General features: G+C 42.0%; 1 long non-coding RNA gene across 1 annotated transcript in view; it reads right to left on the reverse strand.

Annotated features, from left to right (window-relative positions):
• SAP30L-AS1 (SAP30L and GALNT10 antisense RNA 1) overlaps nucleotides 1-17,286 on the reverse strand; it is a 56,054-nt gene that overhangs the window by 37,796 nt on the left and 972 nt on the right. The window contains exon 2 of the long non-coding RNA NR_037897.1: nucleotides 15,798-15,916. This is a non-coding gene — a long non-coding RNA (SAP30L and GALNT10 antisense RNA 1). The remainder of the gene's footprint in view (nucleotides 1-15,797; nucleotides 15,917-17,286) is intronic.

Here is a 17,286-nt window from a genome sequence, read left to right on the forward strand (position 1 = left end):
TCATGCCTGTAATCTCAGCACTTTGGGAGGCCAAGGCGGGTGGATCACGAGGTCAGGAGTTCAAGACCAGCCTGGCCAAGATGGTGAAACCCCATCTCTACTAAAAATACAAAAATTAGCCGGGTGTGGTGGCAGGCGCATGTAATCCCAGCTACTCGGGAGGCTGAGGAAGGAGAATCGCTTGAACCCGAGGGGCAGAGGTTGCAGTGAGCCAAAATCACGCCACTACACTCCAGGCTGGACAACAGAGCGAGACTCCATCTCAAAAAAAAAAAAAAAAAAAACAGAAAAAAACCTCTGCATAGCAAAAGAGTGAACAGACAACCTGCAGAATGGGAGAAAATATTTGCAAACTATACACCCAACAGGGGACTAATATCCAGAATTTTCAAGGAACTCAAACTACTCAACAACCAAACAGACAATCTCATCAAAAAGTGGGCTAAGGATATGAATAGTCATTTTTCAAAAAAAGAAAAGCAAATGGCCAACAAGAATATGAAGAAAGTTCAACATCACCAATCATCACAGAAATGCAAATTAAAACCACAGTGAAATATCATCTTACACCAATCGGAATGGCTGTTACTGAAAAGACAAAAAAATAACAGATGTTGGCTAGGATATGGAGAAAAGGAAATTCTTATACACTGTTGGTGGGAATGTTAATTAGCATAACCTTTATGTAAAACAGTATCTACCCTGTGTGTGTTTGTATATACATATATATATACATGTATGTGCGTATACATGTGTGTGTATATATACACACACACATATACTAGTATTCCATTGTGTGTGTATATGTGTATATATATACATGCACACATGCACCCACACACACAATGGAATACTATTCAGCCATGAAAAGGAATGAAATAATGTATTTTGCAACAACATGGATGGAGCTAGAGGCCATTAACTCAAAATAAACGAATCAGACAGAGAAAGACAAATGTTGCATGTTCTCACTTATAAGTGGGAGCTAAATAATATGTACATTATTACACATTAATATGTGTGAAGTAATAGTCGATGAAAACTCAGAAGGTCTCCATTGGGTGGGAGTTGGGAGGGGGTGAAGGATGAGAAATTACCTAATGGGCAAAATGTATATTACTCCAGTGATGGATACACTAAAAGACCTGACTTTACCACTATGTAATCTATCTATGTTTGTAACAAAATGACACTTGCACTCCATAAATTTAGACAAATAAATTAATTAAAAAAGAAGTGGTGATGGTTGCACAACTTTGTAAATATACTAAAAACCACTGAATTGTACGCTTTAAAATGGTGAACTTTATGGTATGTGAATTTTATTTTTGTGGGGGTGGAGACAGAGTCTCGCTCTGTCACCCAGGCTGGAGTGCAGTGACACAATCTTGGCTCACTGCAACCTCCGCCTCCTGGGTTCAAGCGATTCTCGTGCCTCAGCCTCCTGAGTAGCTGGGATTATAGGCATGTGCCACCACACCTGGCTAATTTTTGTATTTTTAGTAGAGACAAGGTTCCACCATTTTGGCCAGGCTGGTCTGACCTCAAGTGATCTGCCCAACTCAGCCTCCCAAAGTGCTGGGATTACAGGCGTGGGTCTGGCCTATATCTTTTAATATATATTTTTAAAAGTTTTAGTTCCTTTATGGTCAATACACAAGAATGTTTTATTATATGTCGATGTTAAAGCTCTGTCCTATATTTGCATTTTTTAAGTTTATTTGGACAAATTTTATGTGGCCAAATGTATTGATATTTTCTTTTGTAACTTTGTTTTGTTTAAAAAATATTTTTCCACCAATGAATAAGATAGACTTTCACCTATATTTACTTCCAAAATGCTTAATCATTTCCTGAAAAAGATTAAATTCTTTTATTAGAAAAAAAGAAAAAAAGAAACAAAAGGGGGAGAGTATTCCAGGTGCAGGGGCCAACATGTGCAAAGACCCCATGGAGGGAGTATGGCGGGCATGAAAGGCAGGCAGGCTGGAGCAGAGAACAGGAAGGAAAGAGGAGAACAGGGAGAGGGTAGGCAAAAGCCAGCACCATAGGCCCTTGTGGGGCACATTAAGGAGACTCTGATCTTTATTTTAAGAGTAATAGAAACCATTAAAGGGTTTAAAACTGGGCACAGTGAGATTATCAGATATGCCCTTGACTGATGTCTGGAGCCAGGAAGTGACTTACTCCACTGCTTAGCACATAATGGGCACCCAGGGCAAACACAGTGAGAAACAAGCCAGGGCAAGTGGACCTCTGGTGCCTCCTCAAAGACACTGACCACTTAGGGGCAAGATCCTTTCCTTGAGCTGGTGGAAGAATGGGAGTAGGTATTACATTTCTCACCCATTTTAGCTCCTTCTCCTTCCAAGCCTGCAAGCGAGAGTAGAATCCAATGTATCTAAGATGCTGAGCTAGACACAGAGTGTGAGCTTTGTTGTTGTTGTTGTGGTGGTGGTGGTGGTGGTGGTGGTTGGCAGTGGCACACTTATTGGGAAACAGTCAGAGAAGCCAGCAATTTGCTCAAAGTTTTGGGCTCTACTTTTCTCTGTTTGGTTGGAACTGGGGCTTAGGGGATCCTGGAACTTAGTAGAAGCTCAATAAGTACTTGATGAGTGGACAAATGGATGAGTACTATATTTTCAGGTACACACCAGGCCTTTTTTCCCTCCACTCACAGCCCACAGCCCTTCTGATAGGCCGGGTTCCTGCACTTGATATATGCTACATCCCATTAAGAGAGTTCCTTCCCCTCCCTAGGCTTTGGATTCTCCACATGAGAATAAGGAGAAGGAGGCAAGTTAGATAATGGTCAGCCTGGACTCTTAGAGTTCTATAAATCTTGCATCTTGTATTTTGCAATGACCTGGTTTTGTTAAGAATTTACTTTCCAAGCTCAGCTGGGAGGTAGGGGTGGGACTCCCTCCCAGTTCTGTTATTGGTATCTCCCAACCCAGGGCTTCTTGGTTTTTGCTGTAAGTGGGTCCAACACTCAACATCCAAGGCTTCCCTGCTGCAGCTGCACACAGCTCTGCCAACCTCTGGCCTCGGGCAGCTGGTTCCACTTTTGTTATCCTCAAAGCCTGGTCTGCCCAGCTTAGGGACACCTGGGGTCCATGGTGGTGCTGCACCTGCACGGCAGCCTGCAGTTCTTCCCTTCGAGTGTGACTTCACTCAGGCCTGGCAGAGTGACAGCCCTGGGTGTGCTCACACTCACACTCACTCACACACAACACCACGGGAACAAAAAAAAAAAATGGTGAACCCCCAGAAAGGCAGTTTCTTAGCAACTTTACAGCCTTTGTTCATGAACTCCTTGGAATCCAAGTATCGTCTGATCTCCTGCCAGCTTCCGCCTGAGGGTAGGAGGAAGAGGATGGCAGGTCTGCCTTTATGAGAGCCCAGAGCTAAGCCCCCACACCACACCACTGGCCTGTCAGTCAGCCTGGGAAGCAGAGGCCTGAATTCTGCGTTTCTCTGGGATCTGGGGAAAAAATCTCTGCTATGATTTCTTCACAGCTGCAGCCACAGAATCCCAGGGCTTGGTCATTTAATCAACAAACACGGATTGAAATAGGTACCCTGGGCTCATGGTGTTTCGCATTTTGTACCCACAGTGATTGGTCCCAGCTCTGTCCTAGGCCCTGCAAATACCAGGTGCATAAGGGATGATCTGCAACTTCTATGGCCTAGTGATGAGAACAGATTTGAGTTCCCACACAAATTAAAAGAGAATAACTTGATTACCACTGCCTACAGGTAACTTTACTCCAGGCCTTTACAATAAACCCAAACTCCCTAGCCTGGCCCAAAAGGCCTGTTGGGACTGATCCCTGCCTACTTTTCCATCACCTCCTGGCAGGACCCCAGTTCCCCACAGAGTCCAAAGCTCTCTCACCTTCGGACCCTGTTCCCTCAGCTTGGAATACTCTTCCCCCCTGCTCTGCAGCTTCATCCTTTAGGTTTCAGCTTTACTGTCACCTCCCCCAAGAGGCTTCCTTGACCACCCTATTAAGAATAGACATCCCCCCATCATCATTCTTAATCATTCCAGCACCTCTGTAGCTCCTCGCATGGCATGTATCCTGACTTACAGTCGATTGTCATGGTTCATGGTAGTTATGTTCTGTAAGTCACCATGAACACAGTTAGTGAATACTGAACTATTGTCCCTAGGGGAAGTACAGGGGTACGTTCCTGCAAGCCTCTGATCACAACATTTTAATCAAGTGATCAATACATAATCTTGTTTTATATGCATTTATGTTTAGAGAGACCTTAGTTAATATTTATCATTGATTCATTAAATTGAACTCACAGCCAATAGCACTATGACTCATGCCTCAAGCAAAGGTTCTCCAATACATATATTTTCCCTGTAAGGCACATCACAGTCTTCTTGTGCTCAGGAACACTAGACAGCACTTCAGCCCTATGCTTGGGCACCATGTAAACCAAAATCACCAACAAAAAGCTTAAAAATATGAAAAATGTGGCACTCAATAAACCACCAAAGGACACTTGTTTACAGTATGAGAGCTGAAACAAGAAGGCAGATGTCCTCTGGTTCGACCTTAGCTGTGAACGTGTGTGTCTACAGGCTGGTATAACAAAATAACTTAACCTGGTTGACAACAGAAATTTATTTCTCACAGTCCTGGAAGCTGGGAAGTCCAAGATCAAGGTGCCAGCAGAGTCAGTATCTAGTAAGAGCCCACTTCCTGGTTCATAGACTACCATGTTTTCACTATGTCCTCATACAGTGGAAAAGAAGAGGGAGCTCTGCAGTGTCTTTTTATAAGGGCACTAATCCCATTCATTAGGGCTCCATCCTCATGAATTAATCACGTACCAAAGGCCCTATCTCCCATTTGGGGGTTTGGATGTCAACAAATGAATTCAGGAAGGGACACAGACATTCAGTCTGTGACAGCGCCTGCTGGACAACTCGAATTTTCTTCACCACTCTGTGCATATGCACATTCTCAAGTAATCTCAAAAGTGCCATATAGCAGGGTGCGGCGGCTAATGCCTGTAATCCCAGTGTTTTGGGAGGCTGAAGTAGGAGGATCATTTAAGTCCAGGAGTTTAAGACCAGTATTAGCAACATAGCAAGACCCCATCTCTACAAAAAACAAAAAAAAGGCAGATATGGTGGAACATGCCTGTAGTCCCAGCTACTAGGAAGGCTGAGGCAAGAGGATTGCCTGAGCCCAGGAGGTCAAGACTGCAGTGAGCTATGATTGTGCCATTGCACACTAGCCTGGGTGACAGAGTAAGACCAGTCTCAAAACATACGAATTTTTTTTAAGTGCAATGAGCATTGATTTTTTTTTTTTTTTGAGACAGGATCTTGCTCTGTCACCCTGGCTGGAGTGCAGTGGTGCGATCTCGGCTCACTGCAGCCTCCACCTCCCGGGTTCAAGTGATTCTCCTGCCTCAGCCTCCCGAGTAGCTGGGATTACAGTTGCCCGCCACCATGCCCAGCTAATTTTTGTACTTTTAGTAGAGAGTGGGTTTCACCATGTTGGTTAGGCTGGTCTTGAACTCCTGACTTCAGGTGATCCACCCACCTCGGCCTCCCAAAGTGCTGGGATTACAGGCGTGAGCCACTGCACCCGGCCAAGAGCATTGATTTTTGAGATTACAAATACATTTTAGAGAGTAGGTAAATTGTAAATCTGGAATCTGTGAATGAGTATAATAATGGAATCTATGAATAATGCATAATTATGTTATTCACTCTTATGTTATGTTACTTTTCCACTTGACTTTGGGCAAGCAAGGCTGTGTCTATATCATCCACCATTTTATCCCCAGCTCTTACCAGAACAGATTTGGACCTCCAAAATTGTTGAGCTGTTGATGAACCAACCAAACTAAAGCTAAACCTTAGAATTACAGTTTTGTGAGATTTATTAATAATCTCATTATTTATCCTACTATTTTTTGCATATTTAGTTATGGTCAAAATAAAACCACTTTCCAGGGCTGACTTTTCCTGCCCAAATTCACAAAAGACTGATCTATAAACCAAAAGCTATTTTTTCATGGGCATTAGAATTTTCCAGTGGCCCAAATAATTATGTGCAGTCTCCTGGTACCAGCTGAATTATTCCCTAGAGGAAGTTTGCTTGATGGTTCAGCATTAAACAAATGGGAAGTGAAGAGGGCTGAGAGATCATTTGCCTTCCCCATGACACAGTAAACACAGTCCCCTGCTTCCATACACAATTTATTTCAGAAAATATTACTAATGTCAAAAGTACAAAAGTCAAACAACAAATTTATGTTGGGAATAAAAAGTGGTACAGCATGTCCAATTACACCTGCATTTTTAGACACAATCGCTGATCATATGTTTGCTGTCCTTCCTAATGTACCTTCAATTTGATTATTTTCCTTCACAAATCAAAAAACAGCAATAGGCTTAAGAACATCCCATGGAGGCTAAAGATTCATCCCTTTCGATAAGTCTAATGATTTCTATGTTTATATCGAAAGAGTCAATGATACACATACTTCTTTTTAAACTCCTTTTTGTTGAGATATAAATCACGTATACTACATAATTCACCCATTGAAAATGTACAATTTCATATATTTTAGTATATTTACTAGGTTGTGCAACCATCACTACTAATTCCAAAATATCTTTGTCCCCCTAAAAGAAACCCTGTACCCATAAGTCACTCCCCATCCCAATCCTCCCTACTCTCTTTAGCCTCTGACAACGACTAATCTATTTTCTATAGTGTATCTATGGATTTGCCCTTTCTGGACATTTACATAAATCAAATCATGCATTATGTGGTCTTTTGTAACTGCTTTCATTTAGCATATTTTCAAAGTTCATCTATGTTGCAGCATGTGTCAGCACTTCCTTTGTATCATTAATATTTCATTGTGTGAATATACCACATTTTGTTTATCCTTTCATCAGTTGATGGATATTTGAGCTGTTTCCACCTTTTGGCTATTGTGAATAATGCTGCTGTTAACATTCATGTAAAAGTGTTTGTGTGGATGAATTGTTTCATTTCTCTTGGGCAGATACCTAAGAGTGAAATTGCTGATTAATAAAGTAACTCTATTTTAAAATTTTGAGGAATTGGGCTGGGTGAGGTGGCTCATGCCTGTAATCCCAACACTTTAGGAGGCCGAGGTGGGTGGATCACCTGAGGTCAGGATCAAGATCAGCCTGGCCAACATGGTGAAACCCCGTCTGTACTAAAAATACAAAAATTAGCCGGGCATGATGGCAGGTGCCTGTAATCCCAGCTACTTGGGAGGCTGAGGCAGGAGAATCACTTGAACCCACGAGGTGGATGTTGCAGTGAGCTGATATCATGCCACTGCATTCCAGCCTCAGTGACAAGAGACTCCGTCTCAAAAAAAAAAAAATTTTTTTTGAGGAATTGATACACTGTTTTGCAAAGTGTTTTACCATTTTGCATTCCTACCAGCAATATATGTAGGTTTCAATTTCTCCACATCCTTGTCAACACTTGTTATTGTCTGTCTTATTGGCTACAGCCATCCTAGTAGGTGTGAAGTAATACCTAATTGCAGGTTTGATTTGCATTTCCCTTCTGATATCCCTGGTGATTAGGATGTTGAGCATCTTTGCATGGGCTTATTGGCCATTTGTTTATCTTCTTTGGAGAAATGTCTATTCAAACCCTTAGCCCACTTTTCAATTGGGTTATTTGTCTCTTTATTATTGAGTAATAAGAGTTCTGCATATATTCTGAATACAAGTTCCTTATCATAGCAGTTCCCAACACCCCCACACCGCATTGCCTCCCCACACCGCATTGCCTCCCCACACCTGCATGGAGAGGTACTGGTTGGGAATGGGGCCATACAGCAGGAGGTGAGCAGCAGGCAAGGGAGCATTAGCACCTGAGCTCTGCCTCCAGTCAAATCTTCGGCAGCATTAGATTTTCACAGGAGTGTGAACCCCACTGGGAACTGCACTTGGGAGGGATCTAGGTTGGGTGCTCCTTGTGAGAATCTAATGCCTGATGATCTGAGATGGAGCAGTTTCATCCTGAAATCATCCCCACTCACCCCCAACCCCCTCCCCACCCCCAACCGTGGAAAAATTGTCTTCCACAAAACCGGTCCCTGGTACCAAAAAGGTTGTGGACCACTGCCTTATATATGATTTGCAAACATTTTCTCCCATTCAGTGGGTTGTATTTTCACTTACTTGACAGATGCATACTTCTTATCACTACTATTGGTACTTCCATTTTCCACTGACAAAATTTTATAAAATGAGGATAACATGGAATAATCAAGTACTTTCCCAATCATTGCTGTGCTGATGGATCTGGAGCCTACACAATTGGCTGATAGGCAGTACCACCCTATCGTCTTGCAATATGATGTGTCCTTTAACATGCAGAAATCTGAATCTGGATACAATGGAAGTTCAGGGGTATCACCTTATAATGTATGAAATAATAACTGCCACTTATTAAGCACTTACTATGTGCAAGATATTGTGCTAACTGCTTTAGATCATCATATTTGATCCTCACAATATCCCTATTAGAGAAGTACTGTTATCCCACCTTACAGATGAAGAAAACTGAGGTTCATGGAGTTTAAGTTGTCAGCAGCACCACAGCTAGTAAGTGGTAGAACTGGAATTCAAACCAAGTGTTGCTGAGTCCAGAGCCTTTGCTTCTATCCACAATACCAGTAGCTGTCAAGTGCCATACTGCAGGCCAGCATCAGGGCTGGAGGAAGCTTTCCCAGGTCCTCAGTGGAATGCAAAAAAAAAGGACAATGTTGTGGGGTTTTCATAAGGACAAATTTGTTCCATTTAAATGACTGTTATTCTAAGATTCTTCCTTTTTTTTTTTTTTTTTGCTATTCCATATTTCCTTTTTAAAATAACAGTACTAGATGGTATTTTTATTATTATAAAAGAAATATAGACATGTAGTAAAACAAAAATCCAAATAGGAACAATGATTATAAAATTAAAATTACTTCTATCTTCTCTCCCTTGAGTCATAGTCCCTATCCTAGGGGCAACCACAGTTACTAGTTTTTTGTGTATCCTTAATGTGCATGCACGTGTGTGTGTGTGTCTGCACAAAATTTTTACAAAATATAAATGGAATTCCACACTACATACTGTTTTGTATCTTACCTTTTTTGCTTAATAAATCTTTTGGTATAGTTGAGTACATTTATTTTATTTTTAAAATGTTTACTGAGTCCCTACTCTATTAGCCACCAGAATCGGAGAATTTGTGTTCTATGCATTGGAACTACAGGAACAAGATAGATGTGGTTTTTGCCTTCAGGGAGCTTACATTCTAATAGAAGAAACACTTGAGGAACAACAAAACAAACAGAATAATTGCATATTATGATAAATGCTAATAAGAAAAGACATTGGATAGAGAATAGTGGTGGTCGTGGGGGATCCAACTCCTTTTAATCAGATAAGGTTCTCTGTGGAGGTGACATTTAAGTTGAGATTTGAAGAATGAAGCCAGTAGGAAGGAAACAGCATTCCAGGCCAAGGAAACTGCAAATGCAAGACTTTGAGGTAGGAAAAAGGATGGCTTACTTGAGAAATTTAAGGAAGAATAAGGCAGGCCCAGTGCCGTGGTTCACACCTATAATCCCAGCACTTTGGGAGGGTGAGGTGGGAGAACTGCTTGAGCCCAGGAATTTTTTGAGACCAGCCTAGGCAACACAGGCACACCCCTATCTCTATAAAAAAAAAATTAAAAATTAGCTGGGCATGGTAGCATGTGCCTGTAGTCCCAGCTACTTGGGAGACTACAGCTACAGGAGGATCACTTGAGCCCAGGAGTTGGAGGCTGCAGTGAGCTATAATCATAGTGCTGCACTCCAGCCTGGGTAACAGAGTGAGATCCTGTCTCAAAAAAAACAAAACAAAACAAAACAAAACGCCAGGCATGAATCACACTTCTAATCCCAGCACTTTGGGAGCCTGAGGTGGGTGGATCACTTGAGCCCAGGAGTTTAAGACCAGCCTGGGCAACACAGGGAAACCCCTCTCTCCAAACAATACAAAAAATTAGCCAAGCGTGGTAGCGCATGCCTGTAGTCCCAGCTACTCAGGAGGCTGAGATGGGGGTATCGCTTGAGCCCAGGATGTCAAGGCTGTTGTGAGCTATGATTGCACCACTACAATCTGGGCTGGGCAACAGAGTGAGACCCTGTCTCATAAAAAAAAGAATAAGAGAGCTCATGCATTGTGGGACAGGGCGAAGAGGTGCAGAGAGCACTGTCAGAATGCACTGGGAAGCTGTGAGGGGCCTTAATGGGGAGGGAGCATGGTCTGGTTTGTGTAGAGCTCACTGGGTAGAGAAGTTTAGGGACCAAGTTGGAGGCTTATGCACTTCAGGCAAAAGATGATGGTGTGATGGTGGCCTGGAATGGACTGTTAGCTGTGGGAAATGAAGTAAAAGAGACAGATTCTAAATGTATCTATTGGAGGTAGAAGAAAATGGCCTCGGCCGGGCGTGGTGGCTCACACCTGTAATCTCAGCACTTTGGGAGGCCGAGGTGGGCAGATCACGAAGTCAAGAGATCGAGACCATCCTGGCCAACATGGTGAAACCCCGTCTTTACTAAAAATGCAAACATTAGGTGGGTGTGGTGGCACGCGCCTGTGATTCCAGCTACTCGGGAGGCTGAGGCAGGAGACTCGCTTGAACCCGTGAGGCGGAGGTTGCAGTGAGCTGAGATCGCGTCACTGCACTCCAGCCTGGCAACAAAGCGAGACTCCATCTCAAAAATATGAAAAAAAGAAAGAAAGAAAGAAAGAAAATGGCCTCAATGATGAGTGGCCTCAGGATGTGGTGAGAGGCAGTTAAAGGAGGTACAGGTGGCACAGTTTATGGAGTCTGGATTCGGAGTCAGAGAATGTTTCAACTTGAACATCTTGGTCTGTGATGCCTCTGGAGCACCTCAAGCAAGGAGCTGAAGTGTTGCTGTCTGGAGTTCAAAGGAGAGGTCTCAGCTGGAACTATAAAACTGGGAGTTATTGACCTGTGCCTTTAAATATCTGGGGGTAGGTTTGGGTATGGACAGGAATCTTACAGTCACTGACTCAAGTTGTCCATTTAAAAACCTAGCCTTTCTTAAACTTTAAGTTCAATTTACAAATCTTGTTATTCCATTTTAAATCTAGTAATTTCTTGTATAAAGATAAGAACAAAATCTTGTTATTCCATTTTAAATCTAGCAATTTCTTGTGTAAAGATAAGAACAATCACTTTCACTTGTTCTTTGATTACTGTTAATTCTTAAGTTTAGTATATTCAATCCTCCTTAATATTTAATAAGACTTACCTCCTTAATCAAATTTCCTTAGACACTTAAAACTACAATTATCAATTTAATATGCCTGATTTTCTCACTTTAAATGCCCAATAGGGCAGACTTACAAATCTAAAAAGCAAAACCTTTCTAAGCATTTAAGCAACTGTTGTAAATTAATTACCTAAATGTATAAATGTAGCAAATCAGATTCACTTGGCTATTTCAAGAACCTTAAATCCTACACAAAGCAGAACAAGGATCATAGAAGCTTCTGTTCTGTATTCATTTCTTCACTACAGAATATTTATTCCCATTTCCTTTCTGGAGTTACAGATTTACTCCCCCAATAAAGAGACCAGAATTTTTCCCAAATATTGCTAATGGCAACCAATCTATTTCACTTTCAAATCTGTCGTTTTGCACACAAGTCTTCAGATATTTATTGACGGGAGACATTAGCATATGGTGGTTGTAAGGAAACCTAGTATCAGCTAGGGAAAGGATATGGAGAGAATGCAAGTGTACCCAGCCCTGAAGGCCAATACCTAGACATGGGGTGGAGCATGTAGAGGCTATAGAGGGAACTGCCCTAACTTGGCAAAATAAATTGTGTATAACCCCTTATTGTGTATAACCTCTTAATTTGGGGGGAAGGAGATTTTAAAGATAATCCCAGCAAATGCTGTCACCATATACCTTCTCAATCCTAATAGCCACTAATCACTGTGTGTGCTTGGACTTGTTGCTCAACCTTGCTGAACTCAAATCCGATAGGCTTAAATAAAGGATTGGCTTCCTAAGACCCTTTCTAAGTCTCACAGCCAGTGAGTCTAAGTCAGGGATCACTGTAAGCAAAAGAGTAGATATAAGAAAATACATATGTTTGAAAGAAAGTGAGTAGGCTAGACTAGAAGAGGTAATTGCCTCCAATGAAGATTTATTACATACTTTAACCTTTAAAGCAGGGTGTCTTAAACTTTAAGGTGCATTAAGAATCATCCATAGATTAAATTAATGTGTATTAAAATGTAGATTTCAGAGCCTCATACTCTTTCCACCAAGATTTTATTTAGGAGGTCTGAGATGAGGCCTGAGATTTTTGTAATTTTTTTTACAGTTCCCTATGTGATTGTGATGTAGAGCTAGGTTTGAAACCTGTAAATCTTTCCTTTAAAGACTGGGTGATACTCTGTTGGAGTCAGTACCAGTTCTTGCAATGCAAGCTGCAGAGAACATTGTTAAGATTCAGAAACAGCCAGTGCGGTGGCTCACACCTGTAATCCCAGCACTTTGGGAGGCCAAGGTGAGTGGATCACTTAAGGCCAGGAGTTCGAGACCAGCCTGGACAACATGGTGAAACCCATCTCTACTAAAAATACAAAAATTAGCCAGGCGTGGTGGCGGGTGCCTGTAATCCCAGCTACTCAGAAGGCTGTGGCAGGAGAATCGTTTGAACCCAGGAAATGGAGGTTGCAGTGAGCCAAGACTGCGCCACCCCATTCCAGCCTTGGCAACGGAGTGAGACTCCGTCTCAAAAAAAAAAAAAAAAATTCAGAAACTTGAGAAATGGCAAAATGCTGAGGCTGCAGTGGTCCCTGGATCAAAAAACTACAGGTCTTTGCAGCCCAGATTAGTCAGTGTTCTCCAGAGAAACAGAACCAAAATTAACCAAGACACACTCCCAGAATTTAAGAGATGGGGAAATTCTAAAAAGAGGTATAGCAGAGCAGCTGGTTGGGCTCCATATACATTCCACCCATCTCCACGTGTAGCAGAGCCCTCTGTTTTCACCTGAGCATACAGCCACCAGGAATAAGGGCTACATTTCCCAATGTTCCCCTCCCCCGTTAGGTATGGCGAAATTCTGGCCAAAGAGGTACAAGTGGGAGGCTCACCTACAACTTCTGGGAACTATCCTTAAAGAGCAAGGGTGAGCCCTTCCTCTGCCTTTCCCCCTTCCTCCTGGCTAGAATGCCTCAGTAGATGGGAGTCCCAGCAGCCACCTTGCTTAGTGACGCGACCTTGGGAATGGAAGCCAAACATGGCAAAGCAACAAGAGAAGCCTCGGTCTCTGATGCTGAGGAAAACAATCTGATCACCTCTAGGATTCCTGAAGGTGAGAGAAAAATGTAAGCTTATTTTTGGGTTTTCTGTTACTTGCTAAACCTAATTATGACTAATTAAGCCAATAATAGTATCTAATATTTATTGAGTACCTAATATGTGCAAGGCACTTTTATATCTAATAGTTGGTTTATATCTAATAACTCAGACAGTCTTCACAACAATCCCGAGAGGTTACTATCATCCCCATTTTACAGATGAGGAAACCATGGCAGACTAAGGCCATGTAATTTTCCCAAGGTTCCCAGGCTAGTCAGTGGCAGAGCCAGGATTCCAGCATAAGCTGACTACATCTAGATTTATACCAACCATTATGCTGTACTGCCTCTTGATTCCAGAGGCCAAGTCATCCATCATCCATCTATCCATCCATTCAACAAATATTAATCAAGTGCCTGGGCACTGGAAACTATGATGAGCCATAGAGACAGTTCCCTGTCCTTGCAGAACTTCCAGTCTCAGAACAATGTGAAAGGAAAATGAATCTCGGGACACCAAAATCACTAAGGCAAAGGGAAGAGTCAAGCTGGAAACTGCATCAGGCAAACCTACCTCTTATTTTATTCCTAAGTTAGATAGCTACAAAGATAAAAAAGCTACAGACCTCCCTCACAATTTGCCCACAAGGAAATTCCTTGTGGGCATCAAGATCTTTACCCTAAAACAGTTCTGTTGAATTTCACCCTGGCAATGTAAATGGATAGCTTATCTTCATAGGTGTGGGACAAAGGACAGAACTCAAAGTCATCCCTCTGCTCACCTGAGACAAATGAATATCTGATTGCTTCTTCTGCCCTGTTGTTTATGTAAAAATGCAGATCCACTGAGACAAAGGCATAAATGACTATTCCTCTACCACCCACCTCACCCCTTCCCCACATGTAAATTGTATATTCAGTGAAACGCTGAGCAAAGACTCAAAAGAATGCAACCATTTGTCTCTTATCTATCTATGACCTGGAAGCCCCAGCATCAAGTTGTCCTGCCTTTCCAGATGGAACCAATGTACATCTTGTACATATTGACTGATGTCTCATGTCTCCCTAAAATGTATAAAAGCAAGCTGTATCCCAACCACCTTGGGCACATGTAGTCAGGACCTCCTGAGGCTGTGTCACGTGCACGTCCTTAGCCTTGGCAATATAAACCTTCTAAATTGAGACCTGTCTCAGATACTTTTGGTTCATGCCAACATATCTATGAGTACCTTACAGAACCCAAGGGCAAGCTCAACTACCAGGCCCTGGGGAACACAGGAGGCAGGACCCACCATTAGTGCCTCTGCTCTAACCACTCCCACCAACCACCTGTCAGTTCCAACCAGCAGATTTGCTGGAGAGAAACTGACCAGTACAGTTTGAGCCACAGGCTTAACCCAGCAAGTATTCACTATTAGACAATCAGGGGCCACTCAAGGATTAGAAACCCAGTCACTGGACACCTAAGTGTCCACCTGTTCCCAAAGAAGGGCAGTCATTGGAAATCACTCCCAGAGCCATATGCCACATTCCCCAAAAAGGGAAAAGAGGAGAGAAAGAGGAGAGCAAAGAGCTTTTGTAGGACTGTGACTGCTTGGCCAAGGTATCCAACTCTGATTCTTTAAGGCGTGTTGGGGGATAACTTCTCAACTGGGGCCTGACTGGATGGAAGGAATGAAGGTGGGGAGGGCAGGGGCAGAAAAGACAGGAAAGAAAAAAAGGGTCAGTGAGCCTGGCCCTTAGACCTTGGAAAACTTTGTAGTCTTTGACCACAATTCCATCTCTGGCACTCAGAAAAAATAATAATCCTAAATAATAAAAAGTTTTATGTTCAAAAATAATTATACAGAACCACACAAAAAAGATATCCAACTTCTGGGGGGGCAAATGTAACTACGGTAGGAATCATGATAGCTGACATTTATTAACCACTTATGATGTTCTAGGCACTGTGTTAAGAATTTGTCACCACCTATTTCATCAGACTCAAGAAGTGAAATAATTGCTAACATGTTATAACAAGTCATGGGTGGAGTCCAGATCTGAACCCAGTTCTGACAGCAAAGCCAACTGTCTTTAGCACCACAGTGTACTGTACTACAGAAACTGCACTGTACTACATAAAAAATGGCAACTGTGAAAACTACATAGCAATATGGGGAAAGATTATGATAAAGTATGCCTTGAATAAAGACTACAAAATTATACATAAAGAATGGCTGGGAGCGGTGGCTCACACCCGTAATCCCAGCACTTTGGGAGGCCGAGGCGGGCAGATCACCTGAGGTTGGGAGTCCGAGACCAGCCGGACCAACATGGAGAAACCCCATCTCTACTAAAAATACAAGATTAGCCGGGAGCAGTGGTACATGCCTGTAATCCCAGCTACTCGGGAGGCTGAAGCAGGAGAATCGCTTGAATCCGGGAGGCAGAGGTTGCGGTGAGCCGAGATCGCGCCATTGCACTCCAGCCTGGGCAACCAGAGTGAAACTCTGTCTCAAAAGAAAAAAGAAAAAAGAAAAAAAAAGAACAGTTACAAGCATGAACTCCCCCACCACCACCACCACACACACACACACACACAGAGGCTGGCTGGGCGTATCAGGCTGGGTGTAATCAGGAAAGAGTAACCTTACAGTAATTTGAACAGGAAAATAATAATATAAACATGTATTAATTATAATAGGGGACTGTAGTCCCCTACAGTTATAAGGAACTGCCTAGTAAAAAGAAAAAAGAATGCTAAATAATACAAGAATAGCAGATATAAGTAGCCACTACCTCAAGGACTGAGACAGAGCACCTAAGAAAAGGTCCTAGATCCCCTTAGACCAGGGCAAGTTGGTGCAGAAGAAGTTGTGTACCGCAATAGCCTAGCATTGAATACAAATGCTGTTTAGAAAAATATGGGGAACATGGAGGTTTCATCCATACCAACTGACTTTGGACCCAACATCACACAGTGCCTGGTACAGATACCCAAGTGTTTTCTACATATATGTCTGAACACCCCAGATAGGAGATATTCTTTTAGGGCAAGGGTTATGTTTCATCCTCCTCCTATAGCCAACCCTATACTTGGTATACATAATGAGTTCAACAACAATTTACTTTTGAACAGAATATATGAACTCTGAGGGAAGACTCCTATTAATCTGTGCCTTTTTTCCATTAATTTTTATTCTATTTTTTCTACTGTAAAAACAAAAATAATGCTTATTAAAGAAAATGCAAAGGTTAAACAAAAGGAGAAAAATATCAGCCATATTCCTGCTACCCAGAAATAATCACTGTTAGTACTTTGGTGCATTTTTTATACCAATAGTTTTCTTTTTTCTTTAAACATAGATGTACAGACATCGTATCCTCCATGCAATTTCATATCCTGAATTTTTTTACTTATCATAAAAAAAGCATTTCTCCAACTCCTCATCAGCTCTTTATTTAAGAATTAATGGTGAATTATTCTCTATAGAAAATGTTTACATTGATGTTGAAACTACCTCAAATGCTAACTGCACAATCTCTTTCTGAAGATTTTAGGTAGTTTACTTAACCACTTCCCTTTTGGAACTCTGAGGTTCTATTTTATTTTTCCTATTATAAATAATTCCATAATGAACATCACTGTACTTCATATTATCTCTGATAGGCCTATTTCCGACGATGGCTGTCCCACGTGTGAAATTACCAGTTCAGATGCTACAAATGCATTTATGGCCACTGAGCAAAACTTAAGATCACCAGCCACCTGCTTCTAAACATGGAAACTGGTAGCTTTCCCTTTTACAACAGGACACAAACCCGAAGCTCCTTCTATGCCCTCTAGTACTAACACTTGCTTACCTATCACCTAACACAG

This window comes from Homo sapiens, chromosome 5 (assembly GCF_000001405.40).
Source record: "Homo sapiens chromosome 5, GRCh38.p14 Primary Assembly".
NCBI lineage: Eukaryota > Metazoa > Chordata > Mammalia > Primates > Hominidae > Homo > Homo sapiens.